The sequence below is a fragment of the Homo sapiens genome, chromosome 6, assembly GCF_000001405.40.
Source record: "Homo sapiens chromosome 6, GRCh38.p14 Primary Assembly".
Lineage (NCBI taxonomy): Eukaryota > Metazoa > Chordata > Mammalia > Primates > Hominidae > Homo > Homo sapiens.
Genome location: NC_000006.12, coordinates 20,288,503 through 20,311,114, shown reverse-complemented (window position 1 = coordinate 20,311,114; position 22,612 = coordinate 20,288,503). Strand labels below are relative to the sequence as shown.

General features: G+C 40.5%; 1 long non-coding RNA gene across 1 annotated transcript in view, besides 1 other annotated feature; it reads right to left on the bottom strand.

Moving 5' to 3' along the window:
* Positions 1-22,612, bottom strand: part of LOC101928573 (uncharacterized) — a 67,731-nt gene that overhangs the window by 22,243 nt on the left and 22,876 nt on the right. Inside the window, exon 2 of the long non-coding RNA XR_007059489.1 lies at positions 16,640-16,739. This is a non-coding gene — a long non-coding RNA (uncharacterized LOC101928573). The remainder of the gene's footprint in view (positions 1-16,639; positions 16,740-22,612) is intronic.
* Positions 19,118-19,419: a silencer, noted in NCBI's record as "fragment chr6:20291927-20292228 (GRCh37/hg19 assembly coordinates)". NCBI's record gives its function as "represses an EF-1alpha promoter that drives an FKBP-Casp9 reporter gene in an ReSE screen in HepG2 liver carcinoma cells {active_cell/tissue: HepG2}" and the evidence as "EXISTENCE:reporter gene assay evidence [ECO:0000049][PMID:32094911]".

Here is a 22,612-nt window from a genome sequence, read left to right as displayed (position 1 = left end):
TTAAAACAACTTTCTAACTTTAGGGGGTACAAGTGCAGGTTTCTTACATGCATATATTGTGTAGTGATGAAGTCGGGGCTTTTAGAGTACCCATCACTAGAATAGTGAACATTGCATCCAATAGGTCATTTTTCAAACCTTACCCTCATGCCAGCCTTCCACCTTTCTGAGTCTCCAGTGTCTATTATTCCAGTCTGTACGTTCATGTGTCCCCATAGTTTAGTGTCCATTTATAAGAACATGGGGTATGTTTTTTGTGCGTGTGTGTTCCAATATAACTTTATAGCCACTATGATTTGAATTTCATATAATTCTTTTTTTCTTTAATTTTTCTATTTCAAGATTTTTTTTTCCTTTAGCTTTCAGAGGTTTACTTATGATGTGCCTTGAAATGTATTTCTTTGGGTTTTCCTATTTTGGATTTGCTCAGCTTTTTTGAAAAACTTTTTAATATTCTATAATATAGAAATTTGATTTATTTTAATATTTGGCTTCTTTTTGTTAACCCTTGCTCCTCGACTCCTTCCCCCCTCTATTAGTGTCTGTTGTTGCCATCTTTATGTCCATGAGTACCTAATGTTTAGCTCTTACTTATAAGTGAGAACACGTGGTAGTTGGTTTTGTGTTTCTGTGTTAATTCACTTAGGATAATGGCCTGTAGCTGCATCCATGTTGCTGCAAAGGACATGATTTCATTCTTGTTTATGGCTGTATAGTATTCCATGGCATATATGTACCACATTTTCTTTATCTAAGCCACAGTTGGATAAAGCACCTAGGTTGATTCCATATCTTTGCTATTGTGAATAGTGTTGTGATGAACATACAAGTGCAAAACATGCAGTATTTGACTTGCTGTTTCTGGGTTATTTCAGTTAGGATAATGGCCTCCAGTTCCCTCCATGTTGCTGTAAAATACTTGACTTCATTCTTTTTTTATGGCTAAGTAGTATTCCATGGTGTGTGTGTGTGTGTGTGTGTGTGTGTGTGTGTGTGTGAGAGAGAGAGAGAGAGGGAGAGAGAAAGATTTTTTCTCTATCCAGTACTCCATTGATAGACACACAGATTGATTCCATATCTTTGCTAGTATGAATAGTGCTACAATAAACATACAGGTACAGGTATCTTTTTGATATAATGATTTCTTTCCTTTTGGGTAGATACCCAGTAGTGAGATTGCTGGATCACATGATAGTTCTATTTTTAGTTCTTTGAGAAATCACAATGAGCAATTTTGAAGGAGTCTTCCAAGGATATACTGAAACACAAATGAAAACAATGTACCCATAATTATGAACTCTTTATCCATCCTTTATATTTAAAAGAGATCTCCTAATCCAACTCTCTGGGATTTTATTTCTTCATGTGTGAAATGATGAGGTTCGAGTAGGAGATCTCTTTTAAATATAAAGGATGAAGATGCTTCCATAGAGGCTGAACATTAATTTACATATTTAATTAGCCAGATTGAAGAATGTATGGCCTTAAGATTGGATATCATTCATTAAGGTTGATCCAGTTACAATAAAAATTTACTTTTTATTTACTTAATTTAAAAAAATTTTTTAATCTTAAAAAAAATTTAAATCCCTTCCCAGCAAAGCAATACTTTTTATTTTTAAGTAGATGTTTCATTTCCTGCATTCCATACACATTTTTTAAAATATGACCAGCTTGGCAGACTATGAAAGCACACGAGTCTGACATTAATTGGCAACATTGAATATGTGCATTCAAGTACTTATTCAAATGTATAACCTCCAACTAACTGCTGCTTCGCAGTTATCAAAATTTCCACTAATGTTATATTTATGAACTGCTAAATCTATATTTCTAGCCCAGAACTCTCTGCTGAGCATATCCAACTGCCCACTGAACATCTCTACTGGGATAGTCTGCTGAACAAGTTCAAAAACCAAGCTTCTTCTCTTCTCCTGAAAACCTGCTCCTCCTCCTGAGTTTCCAGCTTGGCAAATGGACCCTGCATCCAGCCTCTTGATTCTCTTCTAAAGATCTCTGTATCCCTAAATTTCTTTGTGTCCCAGCTGCCACTGTCCTGGCCCTCTCTACTGCTTGCGTGAGTCGCTGCCATCCAGCCTCCTATTGGACTCCCACTCCAATCCATTCTCACAATCTTTCTAAGATGCACATTCAAACATTCTTTTATTCAGCAAATATTTATTGAATGTTTCCCACGTGCTGGGTACTGTCCCAGTCCTGTGTACAAAGCAAAGTCCTTGCCTTTACGGAACTTACATGGCAGAAGAAGCAGACAATAAGCAGACGAACAAATGGATATATGATAAAATGATGGGTAGGGATAATTGCTACAGAGGAGAACAAGGAAGGGATGTTTTTATTTTTTATTTATTTATGTATTATTATTATTATTATTATACTTTAAGTTTTAGGGTACATGTGCACAATGTGCAGGTTAGTTACATATGTATACGTGTGACATGCTGGTGCGCTGCACCCACTAACTCGGGAAGGGATGTTTTTAGATCGGGTGGTCAAGGGAGGGCTTGAAGAGTGGTATTTGAGTAGAAAGAAGTGAAGAAGCAAACTAGGCGAATATCAGAGGAAAGAACGTTCCTGGGTGAGAAGACTCTAGAGTGGACCCTTGCTTTGTGTGTTTGAACAACAGCAAACAGGACAGTGGGGCTGGAGTGGAGTGAGCCAGAGGGAGAATGGAGGCAATGAGGCCAGGGAGGTGAGGAGGGACCAGACCAGGCAAGGCCTGGCCGTCCACTGATAGCTTTTCAGCAGGGGGGAGATGAGACATGCCTCCTGTTTCAAAACAACTGTCTCTGTTCTGTGGAAAATACATTGTAAGGGATCAAAAACAATGGCAGAGAGATCAGTTAGGAGGCTTATGCATAGTTTTAGCAAGAGATAATGGTGGATTTGGCCAGGCGTGGTGGCTCACACCTGTAATCCCAGCACTTTAGGAGGCTGAGGCGGGTGGATCACTTGAGGTCAGGAGTTCAAGACCAGCCTGGCCAACATGGTGAAACCCTGTCTCTACTGAAAATACAAAAATTAGCTGGGTGTGGGGGCAGGAGCCTGTAGTCCCAGCTACTTGGGAGGCTGAGGCAGGAGAATCGCTTGAACCCGGGAGGCGGAGGTTGTAGTGAGCTGAGATCATGCCACTGCACTCCAGCCTGGGTGACGAGAGCGAAATTCCGTCTCAAAAAAAAAACAAAAAACAACACCAAAAAAACCCAAAACCAAAGAGATAACGGTGGATTTATTTTATTATATTTTATTATGGTAAAACATACATGACAAAATTTGCCATCTTAACCATTTTTAAGTGTACGGTTTAGTGGCATTAAGAACATTCACATTGTGGGGCAACCATCACCAACATCCATGGTGGAGCTTGTTTATCCTCCTAAACCAGAACTCTGTACACATGAAACAGTAACTCCCATTCCTTGCTCCCCTCAGCCCTGGCAGCCACTGTTACTTTCTGTCTCTATGAATTTGACTACTCCTGTTATGTCATGTAAGTGGAATCACACAATATGTGGCCTTTTGTGTCTGGCTTCTTTAACTTAGTACAATATTTTCAAGGCTCATCATCCTTTTTTTTTTTTGAGATGAAGTTTCGCTCTTGTTGCCCAAGCTGGAGTACAATACTGTGATCTTGGCTCACCACAACCTCTGCCTTCTGGATTCAAGGAATAGCTGGGATTACAGGCATGTGCCACCATGCCCGACTAATTTTGTACTTTTAGTAGAGACGGGGTTTGTCCATGTTGGTCAGGCTGGTCTCGAACTCCTGACCTCAGGTGATCCGCCCACGTCAGCCTCCCAAAGTGCTGGGATTACAGGTGTGAGCCACCGCGCCCTGCCAGACTTTCCATCCTTTTTAAAGCCGAGTAATACTCCATTGGATGTACATTTCCCATCTGGTTTTTCCTTTCATCTGTTGATGGACATTTGGCTGCTTCCACCTCTCAGCTATTGTCAATAATGCTGCCATAAACAAGAGTGTACAAATATCCCTTTGAGACCCTGCTTTTAATTCTTTTGGGTATATATACACCCAGAAGGGGCATTGCTGGATCAAATGGTAATTTGGGTGGATTATTTTCAATGTAGAGATGACAAGAATCTATTCCTCTGCCTAAAATTTTTCAATGGCTTTCTATTGCTTTCAGGCAAAAGTTGGTTTAATATGGTTCAAATATCTTGCAAGATTTTACCCTTGCCAATCTTTTGTAATCTCCCACCCCCACATTCTAAATGCTGGTGAATATCTTTGAATCCCTAGAATAGGCCATGCCGTTTTCTGGGTACTGGCCCCGACCCCGGCTGACTTGTCTCTATTCTTAGCTCTCCCGGAGAGGGCACTTTCCTATCCCGCGGAATCCAGATTAGACTTTCTAGAGACACCTTCCCGAGTGCCTGCAGTGCCCTTGCTCTTCCTCTGCCTTGTGCATCTCGCGTCCTGCAGTACCGCTGTCCACCTGGGCGTGTTCCCTCTTACGTGGGAAGTGCTGTGTCTGACAGAACTGATACCAGCCAGGTACGAGTATCTGTTGAAAAATGAACACAAGAGGATGTACAACCTGTCCATTCCTTGAGACACAGTACTTTAAAATATCAGTCGCAAAGCTGGGCTCAGTGGCTCGCGCCTGTAATCCCAGCACTTTGGGAGGCCAAGGCAGGTGGGTTACTTGAGGTCAGGAGTTTGAGACCAGTCTGGCCAATATGATGAAACCCTGTCTCTACTAAAACTACAAAAATTAGCCGGGCGTGGTGGCAGGCACCTGTAATCCCAGTTACTTGGGAGGCTGAGGCAGGAGAATTGCTTGAACCCGGGAGGCGGAGGTTGCAGTGACATGCCATTGCATTCCAGCCTGGGCATCGCAGCGAGACTCCATCTCAAAATTAAAAAAAAAAAAAAAAAGATAAATAAAATATGAGTCACAAACAAAATACCTTCAGAGGCCAGACACAAAACCAAAATGTGTGATGCTGAGAGTGAGGGGCTGATAAAGTAGGGAATGGTGGGACTTGTGGCCTTCCAGAGCTGTACTATGCAATTGGATCGTTACTAGCCACATGTGACTATTACATTAAAATTAGTTGAAATTAAATACAATTGAAATTCATCCCTTCCACCTCACTAGCCACATTTCAAGTGGTCTGTAGGTAGCCACATATGGCTATTGGCTACTATACTGGACAGTGGAGACAGAGAACATGTTCATCATTGCAGAAAGTGTTGTTTGACAGTGTTATTCTAAGGAACGCATGTCTCATGTAAGGTATTCAGATTTTAAAGTTTTAGCTGGGCATGGTGGCTCATGCCAGTAATCCCTGCACTTTGGGAAGCTAAGGCAGGAGGATCTCTTGGGGCCAGGAGTTTGAGACCAGCCTGAGCAACATAGGCAGAACTTTGTTTCTACAAACTTTAAAAAAAAAAAAAGTTAGCCAGGTTTGGTGGTATGTGCCTATAGTTCCAGCTACTCGAGAGGCTGAGGCAGGATGATCACTTGAGCCCAGGAGTTTGAGGCTGAAGTGAGCTATGATCATGCCACTGCTCTCTAGCCTAGGTGACAGAGCAACTGTGTCTCTTAAAATAAAATAAAAATGTAAAACAGTGTTCTGGCCAAACGAAACACTTTGGGTACACCGATTTCTAACTCTTGCTCTTAGAAATGAATCTTCAGATAAAGCACTTGGAGACTGCAGCACTTACACTCGTCTTTGAGGAAACAAGTCTCAGTCCTACGGATGAGAGAATGAGGCTGACAAAGTTGCCTACCACCCACCTTGCATGGTGGCCTCTTTATGAAAGTTCTGGAGGAAATTTTTCTCTGATCTTAGTGCCAGGAATAGTTGCATGTTTTTATAACACAGTCTAATTCTGTCATTGATCACATTTCCTTTTTTACATTGGCCGCTAAATCTTTAGTGCCAACTCATGACCCAGCTCTAGCAGGGGAGTCAAACCTTGCACTGTGCATAGCAGGAACCCTTAGGGTCATCTTATTTTTTTCAACTCTATCTCCCTTTAAAAAATCCTGTGGCATGTGTTTTGTAAATACATTTCTTTCCCAGGGAATCTAATTTATTTATTTTGGTGCCATATAGTATTCTATGATATATATGCACTAGAGCTTGATTCTGCAACCCTTCATTGGTAGGTATTTGAATTGTTTCTATTTTCCGCTATTACAAACAATGCTAATGAAGGCTCCCGTGCATGCGTCTTTACTTGTATATGTGACAGCGCACTGGGAAATGGAACTACGAGGTTGCAAGGTGTACTTATTTTCAACTTTGAGGTGTTGCCAAATTGCACTCCAAAGCTGTCATTATCAATTTACATCCCCACCAGCTGTGTATGAGATTCTCATTCTCACATCCTGCTATCACTTGGAATTATTATAATTTTTCCCAATGTAATGGGTTTAAAATATCTTGCTTTGTTTTGCATTTTCCTGACCACTCCTGATATTGTGTCTGTTTTCATACTTATTGGTCCAATTGTGGTTCCTCTTTTGTGTGTTTCCAACACATATCCTTTGCTTATTTTCTAGTGTATTGTTTATTATTCTCCTACTGACTGATGGGAATTATATAAATCACTTTTTTAAAATCACAGCTTTATTGGAACAGAATGCTCATACCATAAAATTCACCCTGTTAAAGTGTACAATTCAGTGGCTTTTGGTATATGCACAGAGTTGTGCAACTATCAGTGCTTTCTGACTTTAGAGCACTTCATCCTCCGAAAAGAAACCCCATCCCCATTTGCAGCCTCTCCCCATTGCCCTCATCCTCCCTGCCCAGCCCCAGGCAACCTCCAATCTACTTTCCGTCTCTATAGATTTGTCTTTTTTGAACATTTCTTACAGATAGAATCATACAATAAAATCCATTTTGAAATAAGGTGGGAATCCAGATAGTTATTTCAAAGAGTTATGGGATCATTTTGCATTTTTGAGTTATGTAAGTGGCCCTCCGTGCTTAGATGCTTTTTACTTACATCTAAATGTCATTTTTTCTTCCCACATGAGTTATAATGAACAAATATATATTTTTGAAAATCCAGGCTTCCTATTTCTGGTATCTTTCACCTTCAAGGATTCTCCAGAGATCAAAATCTCCTCTTTGAAAAGCATTGGCCTGGAGCAAATCATAGTCTAAACACAACTCTTAGAAGAGCAGAGCTAAAATTCAGTTTTGTTTACATTTGGCTGAACTAAAGGGGGTCATTTCAAGAAAGACAAGGACTAGAAAAGGAAATGGGCTGGAATGAGTCTAAAATATTTAATGTTTAAAATTGGGGAAATATCTAAGAGAACTTCCAGCTATTGCGAACTGCATGATCGAAAAGAAATTGAGTATCAGGGGAACTAGACAAACCAAGGTCCTTTAGGGGTAAAAATCATACAGTGCATATCTCCCTGTATACATAATATAGTATATAGTGCAGAAATGAGAAAATAGATCATAAAGTCCCTCTGGGGAGTACATACTTTGGGAGTCAAAGGTGGAAGTGGGGAAAAGGAAGAGCGTTCCATATTGGATAGGAAACTTAGACTATTTCAGCCCATGAGACAAAAAGAATTGAATTAAATAGAAATGCAAGTTAATTTTAATCAGCAAGTCAGACACAATGTTCACAAATCTTGTTTTGCTAACTTTTCCAAAGCAAACAAAGGAGGTGGTTATTGATATTCTTTTGGCACATTCTGATAGGCAAAATGGTGCTTTTAATTTATAGATTTAAAGTTTAGTGTTATTTTTAGTGGAAATATTCTTCCTATTTTCCTATTGAGTTTTAGAAATTCAGGTTATTCCAACATGTCTTTCAATGTTAATGGTGTTATTTTTCCTCCCACAGTGTAGACTCATAGATGCTTTCTAACACATCCAGCATTTCACACTCTCCACGGGGCTTAACAAATGCCATTTGCTGTCAGACACAGATAAGGCCCTTGGACATTGTTAATACAAGCTGCCGTCTTCTCCCAGGAAGTATATGTATGTCAAGATCTTTGGGTATGTGATAGATCTAAGCGTAAATTTGATTATAATACATGTGCAGTATATTTTCTTGAAACTTCCACTTATTTCTCACTAGTTAGCCTCATCTACTTATCCTGCTTTTTAAGAGAAAATTTCCAAATCCTCCACAAGTTTCTTGAAGTATGAATAAGGAGATTCATGAATCATCAACTGTAACACTCCAATAACCTTGACTAACAGTGGGAGCACATCTAGACCACAGAATATTTTTAAAGAACTGTAGTTTATCACTTACTTTCAGGCACACACATAAACTAAAGCTGGAGACAAGGTGTTTCCACGTCAAGGGCCTCCTGGTCTGTTTATGTCTCATTTGTGACGGACAGTGTAGACACTAACATTCTCAAAGCAGATCATTTGGGCAATTAGACATGAAAATACTATGAACTATTTCATTATCTTTATTAAGTTCCTTGCTTTTTTTTTTGTTTTGTTTCCAAGAGATGAGCAACCATACAGCTGTTTTTGGAGGCTACAGACTTCAAAGTATTTCCATTTTCAAAGAGTAGTCATTAATACTGTGTCCAGAATTGGTGGGTTCTTGGTCTCACTGACTTCAAGAATGAAGCTGCAGTGTTACAATCCTTCAAGGCAGCATGTCCAGAGTTTGTTCCTACTGATATTCACATGTGTTTGGAGTTTCTTTCTTCTGGTGCACTCATGGCCCCGCTGGCTCAAGAGTGAAGCTGCAAACCTTCACAGCGAGTGTTGCAGCTCATAAAGGCAGTGTGAACCCAAAGAGTAACCAGTAGCAACATTTATTGCAAAAAACAAAGCTTCCACAGCATGGAAGGGCACCAGTGCAGGTTACCACTGCTGGCTCCGGCAGCCTGCTTTTATTCTCTTATCTGGCCCCACCCACATCCTGCTGATTGGTAGAGCCAAGTGGTCTGTTTTGACAGGGCACTGATTGGTGCGTTTACAATCCCTGAGCTAGACACAAAGGTTCTCCACCTCCCCACCAGATGAGCTAGATACAGAGTGTGGACACAAAGGTTCTCCAAGTCCCCACCAGAGTAGCTAGATACAGAAGTGTCGATTGGTGCATTTACAAACCCTGAGCTAGACGCAGGGTGCTGATTGGTGTGTTTACAAACCTTGAGCTACATACAGAGAGTGCCGACTGGTGTATTCACAATCCCTGAGCTAGACATAAGGGTTCTCCAAGGCCCCACCAGAGCAGCTAGATACAGAGTGTCAATTGGTGCATTCACAAACCCTGAGCTAGACACAGGGTGCTGATTGGTGTGTTTACAAACCTTGAGCTAGATACAGAGTGCTGATTGGTGTATTTGCAATCCCTGAGCTAGACATAAAGGTTCTCCACGTCCCCACCAGACTCAGGAGCCCAGCTGGCTTCACCCAGTGGATCCTGCACTGGGGCTGCAGGTGGAGCTGCCTGCCAGTCTCACGCCATGCACAGGCACTCCTCAGCCCTTGGGTGGTCGATGGGACTTGGCGCCGTGGAGCAGGGGGCGGCGCTCGTCAGGGAGGCTCAGGCGGCACAGGAGCCCACGGAGCTTGTGGGAGGCTCAGGTATGGCTAGCTGCAGGTCCCGAGCGCTGCCCCACGGTAAGGCAGCTAAGGCCCGGCGAGAAATTGAGCGCAGCACCAGTGGTCTGGCACTGCTGGGGGACCCAGTACACCCTCCGCAGCCGCTGGCCCGGGTGCTAAGCCCCTCATTGCCCGGGGCAGCAGGGCCGGCGGACTGCTCCGAGTGCGGGGCCCGCCAAGCCCAGGCCCAACCGGAACTCCTGCTGGCCTGCAAGCCCCGCGCAGTCCTGCTCGCGCTTCTCTCTCCACACCTCCCTGCAAACTGAGGGAGCCGGCTCTGGCCTTGGCCAGCCCAGAAAGGGGCTCCCACAGTGCAGTGGTGGGCTGAAGGGCTCCTCAAGTGCCGCCAAAGTGGGAGCCCAGGCAGAGGAGGCGCAGAGAGCGAGCGAGGGCTCTGAGGACTGTCAGCACGCTGTCACTTCCCAATACCAAAGAACTCAAATGGACTGCCAAAGCACAACAGAAGCAATTAATATCAAAAGAGAACCTTTCCAGGACATGTGAATTATTCATTTTTCTAAATTTTTCCATTTCTGTTTCTGCATTACTACAGGACCTAAAAGCAGATATGCTATTCTATAGAAGTGGTTCTCACAGTTTAATGTGCTAGATTCCTGGTCCATGTCACCCCCCACCAATTTTGATTTAGTTGGTCTGGGATAGGACTTAAGAATTTGTATGTGTATCATGTAGCTCCAGGTAATTTTGATCCAAGTGATACCTACTGACCATATTTGGGAAATTGAAAGTGAATGCACTGAATTTCTGCATAACCTATGTTCCACTCGGTCATGTTGAAGGTAGATACAATAACTTTTCATATGAAGAAATGTTTTGCATCCCTTGTGAAACTATTGTTTTTCATGGTGTTATTCGATATATTTTATGGGTCTTTTATTTTTGATATGCAGTCTCGCTCTGTTGCCCAGGCTAGAGTGCAGTGGCGTGATCTCGGCTCACTGCAACCTCCTCCTCTCGGGTTCAATTACTTCTCCTGCCTCAGTCTCCTGAGTAGCTGGGATTACAGGTACACGCCACCACGCTGCTAATTTGTGTGTGTGTGTGTGTGTACTTTTAGTAGAGACGGGGTTTCACCATGTTGGCCAGGCTGGTCTCAAATTCATGACCTCAGGTGATCCGCTGGCCTTGGCCTCCCAAAGTGCTAAGATTACAGGCATGAGCCACCGTGCCAGGCGTCTTATGGTGTTTTTTTTTCGTTTATTTGTTTTTTGAGAGGGAGTCTCGCTCTCTCTCCCAGGCTGGAGTGCAGTGGCGCGATCTAGGCTCACTGCAAGCTCCGCCTCCCGGGTTCACGCCGTTCTCCTGCCTCAGCCTCCTGAGTAGCTGGGACTACAAGCGCCCACCACCGGGCCCGGCAAATTTTTTGCATTATTAGTAGAGACGGGCTTTCACCGTGTTAGCCAGGATAGCCAGGATGGTCTCAATCTCCTGACCTCATGATCCGCCTGCCTTGGCCTTCCAGAGGTCTTATGGGTCTTTTATATCCGAAATTATATGACAAATATATCTGAGGATTTAATGACAGAAAAAAGTTTTCCTTTTCCTAGAAAACTGATGTTCTTTCAATTAACAACCAAGAGAATAAAAATTATCTCTTTTTGTCTTAGACCATAGGAATCCCAGAAAATAAATACATATCTCATTTCAGGTTCTTAGCTGATTTTTCCCCCTTGCCTCTTCCTCAATATGGCTTCTGAATTTGCTTTATGATTCAATTTTTAGCTGTCTTGATGCAAATAGCTTTTTATGATAATGCTTTCTCAGAAGCAGGGAAGGGAAATTATAAAAATATAAATAAATATATATATTTTTTTGAGATGGAGTCTGGCACTGTCGCCCAGGCTGGAGTGCAGTGGCGCGATCTCAGCTCACTGCAAGCTCTGCCTCCAGGGTTCACGCCATTCTCCTGCCTCAGCCTCCCAAGTAGCTGGGAGTACAGGTGCCCGCCACCACGCCCGACTAATTTTTTGTGTTTTTAGTAGAGACGGGGTTTCACCGTGTTAGCCAGGATGGTCTCGATCTCCTGACCTCATGATCCGCCCGCCTCGGCCTCCCAAAGTGCTGGGATTACAGGCGTGAGCCACTGCTCCCGGCCTAAATAAAATATTTAATGTGATTGTAGCTTCATGATATTACCAACAGTTCTCTCTTTCCTGCACTCAACTGCAAGCCAGGGTCCAGTGTTGACCTGGGCAACTCTTCTGGCTCATCCAGTTCCTCATAAGAATTTTTTGCTTCTCTCATTCCGTGTTATGTATATCATCCTAATTGAGCTGAGCCCATGGTGGCCTTTCTTTCCACTTTCCTGATGCCTGTTCTTTACTGACTTTCTCAAACATAACAGTGCTGCTTGAATCTGCTGTCTTCAACAATGTCTAATGTTTTGTATTTATTCATTGTGAAAATTGCATTTATTTCCCAAAAATCTTCATTACCAAAAGCTGGAAACAACAACTTCAGTGTCCTTCAATGGGCAAATGGATACATAAACCATGGTGTATTCACAGAACAGAATACTACTCAGCATTATGCTATGTGAACTAAGCCAGTCTCAAAAGATTACATATCATATGATTTCATTTATTTGAGATACTGGAAAAAGCAGAACTACGGGACAGCGAATATGTTGCCAGAGGTTGGGGTGTGGAGAGGGTCTGAGCAAAGGGGGAACATGAGGGAATTCTTTAGGTGTTGGAATGTCCTGTTTGTGGTAGTAGTTACAAGAATCTATGCATGTGTTAGAACTCATAGACATGTATACCAATGTGAATTCTATTGTATGTAAATAAAAGCAAGCCACATACTAGGAGAAAATAATTGCAAAACATGTATTTGATAAGGATGTATATCCAGAATATTTAAAGAATTCTCAAAACTCAATATAGAAACAAACAACCCAGTTAAAAATGGCAAAAGTTTTGAATAGATACTTAATCAAGGATCATGTACACATGGCAAGGAAACACAGGAAAGGATGCTCAACATTGTCATTAGGGAACTGCAACTTAAAACCACAATGATTTAATGAAATCCAACATTCTTCTATGATAAAATCCTCAACAAATTGGGTATAGAAAGAACATACCTCAAAATAATAAAGGCCATATATGACAAATCCACAGCTAACATATACTGAACAGGGCAAAATTAAAAGCCTTTCCTCTAAGATCTGGAATAAGACAGGGATGCCCACAGGGATCACCACGTCTATTCGACATGGTACTGGAAGTCCTGGCCACAGCAATTAGACAAGAGAAAAAATAAAGGGCATACAAATTGGAAAGAAAGAAGTCAAATTAACCTTGTTCACAGATGACATGATATCATATTTTGAAAAACCTAAAGACTCCACCAAAAAAAACCTATTAGAACTCATGAACAAATTCAATAAAATTGCAGGATACAAAATCAACAAAAGAAATAAGTAGCATTTGTATATGCCAACAGTGAACAATCTGAAACAGAAATCAAGAAAAAAAACCCATTTATAACAACTACAAAAAATATAAAATACCTAGGGATCAGTTTAACCAAAGAAGTGAAAGATGTCTCCAAAAATTTTATAAAACACTGATGAAAGAAATGGAAGAGGACACACACACACAGAAATGGAAAGATATCTCATGCTCATGAATTAGAAGAATAGTGTTAAAATGTTAATACTAACCAAAATGATCTACAAATTAAATGCAACCCCTATCAAAATACCAATTGTATTCTTCATAGAAATAGAAAAAAAAGATCCTAAAATTCACATAGAACCACAAATGACCTTGAATAGTCAAAGCAATCTTGAGCAAAAAGAACAAAGCTAGAGACATCACACTATTTGACTTCAATTTCAAATATTTGACTATTTACTACAAAGCCATAGTAACAAAAACAGTAGGTAGGCCAGGTGGTGACCTTGGTGGCTCACACCTGTAATTCCAGCACATTGGGAGGCCAAGGTGAGTGGATTACCTGAGGTCAGGAGTTTGAGACCAGCCTGGCCAACATGGTGAAACCCCGTCTCTACTAAAAATACAAAAAAACTTAGCCAGGCATGGTGGTGGATGTCTGTAACCCCAGCTACTTGGGAGGCTGAGGCAGGAGAATCACTTGAACCTGGGAGGTGAAGCTTGCAGTGAGCCGAGATCACACCATTGCACTCTAGCCTGGGTGACAAGAGTGAAACAGTGTCTCAAAATAAACAAAAACGAAATAAAAAAACAACAGCGTGGTACTAGAATAAAAACAGACACATAGACCAATGGAACAGAGTAGATAAGCCATAAATAAGTCCATGCATTTACTACCAACCCATTTTGACAAAGGCTCCAAAAACATACATTGGGAAAAGGAGAGTCTCTTCAATAAATGGTGCTGGGTAAACTAGATAACCATATACAAAAGAATGACGTTAAACAACTATCTCTCACCTTGTGTACACAAAAAAACTCAAAATGGATTAAAGACTTAAATCTAAGGCCTGAAAGCATGAAACTACCAGAAGAAAACACTGAGGAAATGCTTTGGGACATTGATCTGGGCACAGAGTTTTTTGGGTAAGACCTCAAAAGCACAGACAGCAAAAGCAAAAATTGTCAAATGGGTTTACATCAAGCTAAAAAGCTTCTGCACAGCAAGAAAACAACAAAGGGAAGAGAATCTACAGAATGGAAGAAAATATTTGCAAGCTATTCCTCTGACAAAGAATTAATAAACAGAATATATAAGGAACTCAAACACCTCAACAGCCAAAAACACACACACAAAAAAAATCTAAAAGAAACAGGCAAAGGATCTGAGTAGACATTTCTCAATTGAAGACATGCAAATGGACAACAGATATATGAAAAAGTGTGCAGCATCACCAATCATCAGGGAAATGCAAATCAAAACCACAATGAGACATCATCTGACCTCAGTTAAAATGCCTTTTATCAAAAAGACAAAAAATAATGGATGCTGTCAAGAATGTGGAGAAAGGGGAATGAACGCTTACTTGTACACTGCTGGTGAGAATGTAAATTAGTATAGCCATTCTGGAAAACAGTTTGGAGGTTCCTCAAAAAACTAAAAACAGAGCTACCATATGATCCAGCAATCCCACTGCTGGGTATATATCCAAAAAGAAAGGAAATCAGTATGATGAAGAGATATATGTTATTGTAACACTGTTTACAATAACCACAATACGGAATCAACCTAAGTGTCCATCAACAGATGAATGGATAAAGAAACTGAGGTGCACGTACACAATGGAATATTATTCTGCCTTAAAAAGAATAAAATCATGTCATTTTCAGCAACATGGATAGAACTGGAGGTCATTATGTTAGGTGAAATAAGCCAGGCACGGAAAGACAAATTTTGCGTGTTCTCACTCGCATTTGGGAGCTTAAAAAGTGTACCTTATGGAGGCAGAGAGTTGATTAGTGGTTACCAGAGGCTGGGAAGGGTAATGATGGAGAGAAAAAAAGAGAGGTTGGTTAATGGGTACAAAAATGCAGTTAAATGGAATAAGATCTCTTGTTGAATAGTGCAGTATGGTGACTATAGTTAGCAGTAATTTGTTGTATAGTTCAAAATGGCTGGAGGAGTGGAATTAGAATGTTCCCAGCATAAACGGGGTGAATGTTTAGAGTGATGGATGTCTCAATTGCTCTGGTTCAATCATTACATATTGTATGCATGTGTCAAAATACCAAATGTACCCCCAACATGTGTACAATTATGTATCAATAAAAAAATCTCATGAATAATTTTGAATATTGTTTATAGATGGAAACAGTAGTTTTTTGCATATATTAGCTTAATTAAAATATGCTTAAAATTTTAAAACCCGCAATAAATATTTCTATTTTAATTGATGAAATAATAAAAATTTTAAAAACTGACAATACTGTGATCAATAATGAGGTGTAGAAAAAAAAAGAAAAAATGGATAATACCTAGTGCTGGTGAGGATGCAGAACAGCTCTAACTGTCATTTATTGCTGGTGGGAACATCAGATGTTTACAGCCACCTTAGAAAATAGTTTGACATTTTCTTTTTTTTTTTTTTTTTTTTGACATTTTCTTAAAAAGTTAAGCATGCCACATGATCCAGCGATTCCACCTCTATGCATTTACCCAAGGAAAGTGAAAACATGTTTATACAAAAACCTGGACATGAATGATTATAGCAACTTTATTTATAATTGTCCCAAACTGGAAACAACACAAATGTTCTTCAGCTGGTAAATGGATAAACATACTGTGATTTACCCATACAAAGAAAGACTGCTCAGCAAAAGGAACAAACTACTGATATATGCAACGAAATGGATGAATCGCAAATGCATTATGCTAAGTGAAAGAAGCTGGATTCAAAAGGCCATATACTGGATGATTCCATTATGACATCCAGAAAAAGAAAATCTATAGGTACAAAAAAACAGATCAATGATTGCCAGAGTCAGGCGGAGGTACTGGCTACGAAGGGACACCAGGAGATGTTTAGACACAGAGGGATAGAACTGATCTATATCTTGATTACGATGGTGGGTACATTACCATATGCATTAGTCAAAACTCAGAGATTGATACACTATAAAGAGTAAATCTTTTAGTATGTAAGTTGAATTTGTATTATGTTCAGTAATCAATATGGTCCTCAGAGCTGGAAGAACTTGACAGTTTGTGAGTTTCACTTTTGTTCTTTCAATTGTCTTTCCTGTTCATATCAATCCAAAAAGCGTTGCGTGTTTACATGTATCATCCATCCTGCTAAGCATTTCTAAGATTACAAAAGAAGTTTAAAACTAGGTTTTTGACCTCGAGTTGTTCATAAGTATGAGGACAGGCATTGCAATTAAGACTTTATCTGGTAAGTAATAAATGGTCATTATAAGTCCCTAAATACAGAGATGACTAGTGAATGCAAATCTTAGGTCAATCAGAAAGTTCTGATTGTATAGTGTTGTATAGATTATAGCTGGGAGGTACCGAAGGGGAAAACTCTTTAAGAAATAATTGCACTAACCTGGAAGTGAGGTGGGTGATCAGAATGCAGACAGGGAGATGGTGCTTCTGGATCCCTGGCTGGCAGATTAAGCACATATTCAGGGACAAAGCTGGGGCACCTAAAAATGAGAAACCCTCAGCTTTCATTACAGGTTTTACAGACCTTTGTAACTTATAAAGAAGGGCACCATGCACTTTTTTGTCCTGGGACAGGCCCTAATCTGTCTCTGTCATGACAGAGGAGATGGAAAGAAAGGGCTAAATCCAAAGACACTAAAAAGAGAGGAAAAAAAAAAAGACTAGAATTTAAGGAATGAAGTAGAGTAGGGTTAAAACAGTGATTTTAGAGTTATCTTGGAAGAATTTAGCATCAATAAACAGAGAACACTGATCAAAAAGGTGGGCGGAGATGTATGATTAGAGAATGGGTCATCCAGTTTGGAGATGTTCTCTTCACCCCAGCTGCTCTGCGCTCCTTTGCCATTCCTAGAACAAGCAGGCACACTCTGGTTGCAGAGCCTTTGAACTGACTGTTCCCTTTGCTTGAAATGCTCTTTCCCGGGCCAGCGCAGTGGCTCACACCTGTAATCCCAGCACTTTGCGAGGCCGAGGCGGGAGGATCACCTGAGATCAGGAGTTCAAGACCAGCCTGAACAACATGGAGAAACCCCGTCTCTACTAAAAATACAAAATTAGCCTGGCATGATGGTGCATGCCTGTAATTCCAGCTACTTGGGAGGCTGAGGCAGGAGAATCACTTGAACCTGGGAGGCAGAGGTTGCAGTGAGCCGAGATCGCATCATTGCACTCCAGCCTGGGCAACAAGAGCGAAACTCTGTCTAAAAAAAAAAAAAAGAATTGCTCTTTCCCCCACGGCTACATGGTACTCCCAAACCTTTTCCACTTCTTTATACAAGCCATACCTTCTGCATGAGGCCCACCTGACCAACCTGTTTAAAACTGTAACCACCCCTCCCAAGTCTCTATAGCCTGTTGGTTCTTTTCTTTTTCACAGCATTTACTGTCTTCTTGCCTGCTAGGATGCTTTAGTCACTTAGAACACCTGTTGTTTACCGTCTACCTCCTTTTGCTGGAATGCAAGCCCTTAAGGGCAGGGATCATTAACTATTTTGTTTATAGTTAAGTTGCAAGCACCCAGAATACTCCGCACATCCTAGGTGCTCAATAAATATTTGTGAATAAGTAAACCATGCTAATTAACATTTACTGAGCATATTCTGAGACTACATATTTTGCCATGTGCTTTAAATCAGGCATCCCCAACCATGGGGCCATGGACTGGTACCCATCAGTGGCCTGTTAGGAATAGGGCTGCGCAGTAGGAGGTGAGCCAAAGGTGAGTGAGCAAAGCATGTGTATTTATAGCCACTCCCCATCACTCACATTACCATGTGAGCACTGCTTCCTGTCACATCAGCAGTGGCATTAGAGTCTCATAAGAGCATGAATCCTATTAAGAACTGCGCATGTGAGGGATCTAGGTTGTGAGAATCCTTATGAGAATCTAATTCCTGATGATCTGTCACTGTCTCCCATCACTCCCAGATGGGACCATCTAGTTGCAGGAAAACAAGCTCAGGGCTCCCACTGATTCTACATTATAGTGAGTTGTATAATTATTTCATCATATGCTACAATGTAATAATAATAGAAACAAAGTGCACCAATAAATGTAATGAGCTTGAATAATTCTGAAACCAACCCCCTCCCCGTCCCATCTGGGGAAAAATTGTCTTCCAAGAAGGCAATCCCTGATGCCACAGCAACTGGGGACTGCTGCTTTACATTATGTATATCACTGAATCTTTACAACTGCTTTATGGAGCAGGTACTATTATTATTCCCATTTTACAGATAAGGAAAGAGACTGGCAGAGTAAGAGACTGACCCATGGTTACACATAGCTACTAAGAATTGGAGCCAGGGTTCAAACCCAGACACATAGACCCCAGAGCCTGCTCTGGCCACGTCCTAGTTGGCTGGTGCCAAGAAGCTCGGCAGATTCTTGGTTGGCTGGTACATTGAAAAGATCAGATCTGTGGGTTGCATTTGTCAGTGGAAGCCATTTGAAAGAATGAGTTATGCAAGAGCAACCTAGTGCTGACGATATGGGTTGATAAAGAGGCTAAGACTGCTGCTATACTTGCACCCTTTGAAAAGATAATAAAACTGGAATGTAAACTCATTTTCACTTCTCAATAGTTTATAAGGAATACAAGGCTTAAATTCACATTTTTAAAAAAGGTATATGCAGGTTGAATCCCTTTTAGTCTCCACTTTTCAGCAAAGTTTACCGAAAATAAAATCCATTTACTGCTGACACTGGAATTGCCTTGTGTGGGTAGTTCATGTGGCTTCTATTTTACTCTATAGACAGGAAAATTTGTTATTCTTTATACACTATCTCTAAGAATTTATTATTGAAATGGGATTAACAACATAAAAATAGTACTGAAGAAAAGCAGATCTTAATTTGGATCGTGTTTTATCAATTCCAGGAGCAGCCCATGATTATAAAAATACCTTCAACCTCCTTAAACATGGATTCACCCTTCCGGTGTGGGCTTAGGGCAGGGTGACCTTTCCCTTTTGATGACCGCCCTCTTGTGGTGAACTGTGAGTATGCACGTCTCCATCTTCAAGATGCTTTGTGAGACGGGAACAGTGTTTTGTACAGAGCATTCCCTGACATCCGGGGTGAGGAGAAGTACTCCCTGCATGATCCTAGTTCTTGAGTAGTCTCTGATGTTCTTTAAACATAAGGGCAAATGTGTTGTTTTTATTTCTAGACTTTATTTTTTGACCGTGTATTTTTATGCCCACTGCTGTTACTGTGACCAATTTTAGTTATAATTATTTTCTCTTTCTATTTTATGGAGGATAATTAGCGAATGGAAATAGAAAAAAATTTAAATAGGTTTAAAAAGGCTTTACATTTTAAATTCGAAGTTCACTCCTTATCCAGAAAACTCCCCATTTTTGTGTTAAAAGCATAAAAAATGTATGTTTAAGGATGAGAAATAACAGAATGTCTTGGGATTTTGAATTCCTCTCATTCAGAAGCTGTCTGAAGGTCAGTGGGAAAATGAGGTTTGGAGGTGATGTAGAATGATTGTGTAAGCTCTCAGCATGTGTCGCTCATGCATGGACACTTGATACTATGCCTCCTGGAAAATGATCATGGATGGTATGCGGAGACCCTACTCCTGATTGCAATCCGTCATATATAATGGCTGCCATTTTAATTTCACTAAATCAAGGGTCAACGTCTCAGGCTTATTTTATGATACACTGAAAAGGTTTTGGATCTTTGGAGTCAAAGAGAACTGAACTTAAATCTAAACTCTGACACTTACTGTGACTTTAGGCAAATTATTTAATCTCTCTTGTTGCAACAAAAAGACAACAATTCCCACTTTGTAGGGTCAGGTAACTCAAAGGAGTCAATGAGTATGTAAGCTGGGCCAGAGCCTTTTGCGGAAGTCATTGCACGAAAGCTCCCTTCCCTCCTGCCTCCCCACCCGCTCATCGCTTATTTATTATAGTGTAGCTGGGAAGACAAGACACACACTGAAATATGGAACAGGCAGAAAATAATAAATTGAAAATGATTTGGTGTGTACACCCAGATTTCCTTATATTATCAATTTGTCTTCATATGTTTGGAGGCTATATCAATAAAGTCTATAAATATGGAATTATATCTTCCTGGAGAGTTGAGGCTCTGGCAAACACTTTCACGTAAGGTAAACCCTAATAATGTTGTTTTCCTGAGAAGCTCGTTTGTTTGATATTCCATGAGTACGCCAGCTCTCTTTTGGCTAATATTTGCCTGGTTCAGGTCTGTGATTCCATATCTGCAGTTCTGAAAACCAAAAAGCTTGGAAAACAAAGTTATTTTTATAATTCTTTTGGCAGCAAAACCTGATCTATGCCAATGTAACACTATAGTCTTATTTATTCTACTTAGTGTGAATATTTATGTTTCTTTCAGAAATATTACTGTGTTTGATTATGGGGTGCTGCCTCAAACTCCACTGTGTTAATGTATAACATAGACCCTATATTAATTTCTTAAATTAATCTGAATTTGAAACACATTTGGCTCTAGGGTTTGGGTTAAGAGTTTGGGCTGCACTGTCTATAAATGTCTTTCTGTCTTCTTACGTTTTAGGTATGTATCTTTAAGTAACATTTAGCTGGATTTGCTTTTAATCTAATATAACAATCTGTCTTTTAAATGGAAGATTTAGGCTATTTAAATCTATTTCTGGCCGGATGCAGTGGCTCGCACCTGTAATCCCAGCACTCTGGGAGGACGAAGCAGGCAGATTGCTTGAGCCCAGGAGTTCTAGACTAGCCTGGGCCACATAATGAAACCCCACCTCTATTAAAAATAAAAATAAAAAAAATTGGCTGGGTGTGGTGGCACATGCCTGTGATCCCAGCTACTCAGCTACTCAGGAGGCTGAGGTGGGAGGATGGCTTGAGCCGAGAGGTTGAGCTGTGATTGTGCCACTGCACTCCAGTCTGGGTGACAGAGCGAGACCCTGTCTCAAAAAAATAATAACAATTATAAGATAAAAGATTAAATAGAAAAATCTATTTCTGGTGTGTTTGAATTTTTCTGTCCTCTCTCTCTTTTTGCTTTCTAAATGTTCCACTTTGTCTATAGTTTTCTCATTTCCAGCATTCTATTGGATTGAGCTTTTTTTCCCCCAAGTTTTTGCTTAATTAGCTAGGAAGTTATATACCCTCTTTATTCTCGTAATGGTTACTTTTGAAATGTTTTTCATGCACATTTAACTTATGAAGTCCAAAATTATTCCATATCTTTAGCCTATGTTTCAAAAATTCCAAGACCTTTCATTGCTCTAGCTTTGGCCGTACTCTTCCAGCTTACAATGCTATTGTCTGGTATTTTCGTTATATCTTATTTTCTAATCACAAAATTCAACATTATTATTCAATAAAGATATTTATTTCTATTTGTGCCTCTATTTACTAATTTGTTTGCACATCAAACTGTTTATCAAACGTATATTTTTTGAACAGTTACTATAGGCCTGACTCAACAGTGAGCAAAATGAAGTATCTGACATACAGGACTTAAATTCCAGCTCATACTAACTGTTTCTTCTTACTTTCAGATCTTCCTTCTGGGATAATTTTCCCTCTTCTTCCTGTATATCTCTTAGATGTTCTACTGGGGGTTTGTTGAATCTTAATTCTTTTTGCATTTTAGATAGCTTTATTGAGATATAATTTGCATACCACACAATTCCCCTATTTAGAGTATATAATTAAATGTTTTTTAGTATATTCACAGATATGTGCTATCATCACCACAGTCAATTTTAGGACATTTTCATAACCTCTAAAAGAAACTTTAACTGTTAGCAGTCACTCTATAGTGGATTGAACAGTGTCCTCCACAAATTCACATCTACCTGGAACCTCAGAAAGTAACCATGTTTGGACATAAGGTCTTTGCACATGTAATTAGTTAAGATGGGGTCATACTGGATTAGCATGGGCCCTTGAGCCAGTAATGAGTGTCCTTATAGAGGGGAGAGGACACACGGAGAAGAAGACCACGTGAAAATAGAGAAGGCTGGGCGCAGTGGCTCATGCCTGTAATCTCAGCACTTTGGGAGGCCAAGGTGGGTGAATCATCTGAGGTCAGTAGATCGAGACCAGCCTGACTAACATGAAGAAACCCTGTCTCTACTAAAAATACAAAAATTAGCCGAGCATGGTGGTGCATGCCTGTAATCCCAGCTACTTGGGAGGCTGAGACAGGAGAATCACTTGAACCTGGGAGGCAGAGATTGCGGTGAGCTGAGATCGCACCCTTGCACTCCAGCCTGGGCAACAAGAGTGAAACTCCATCTCAAAGAAAGAAAGAAAGAAAATAGAGAAAGAGATTGGAGGGATGCAGCTGCAAGCCCAGGAACACCAAGGTTTGCCA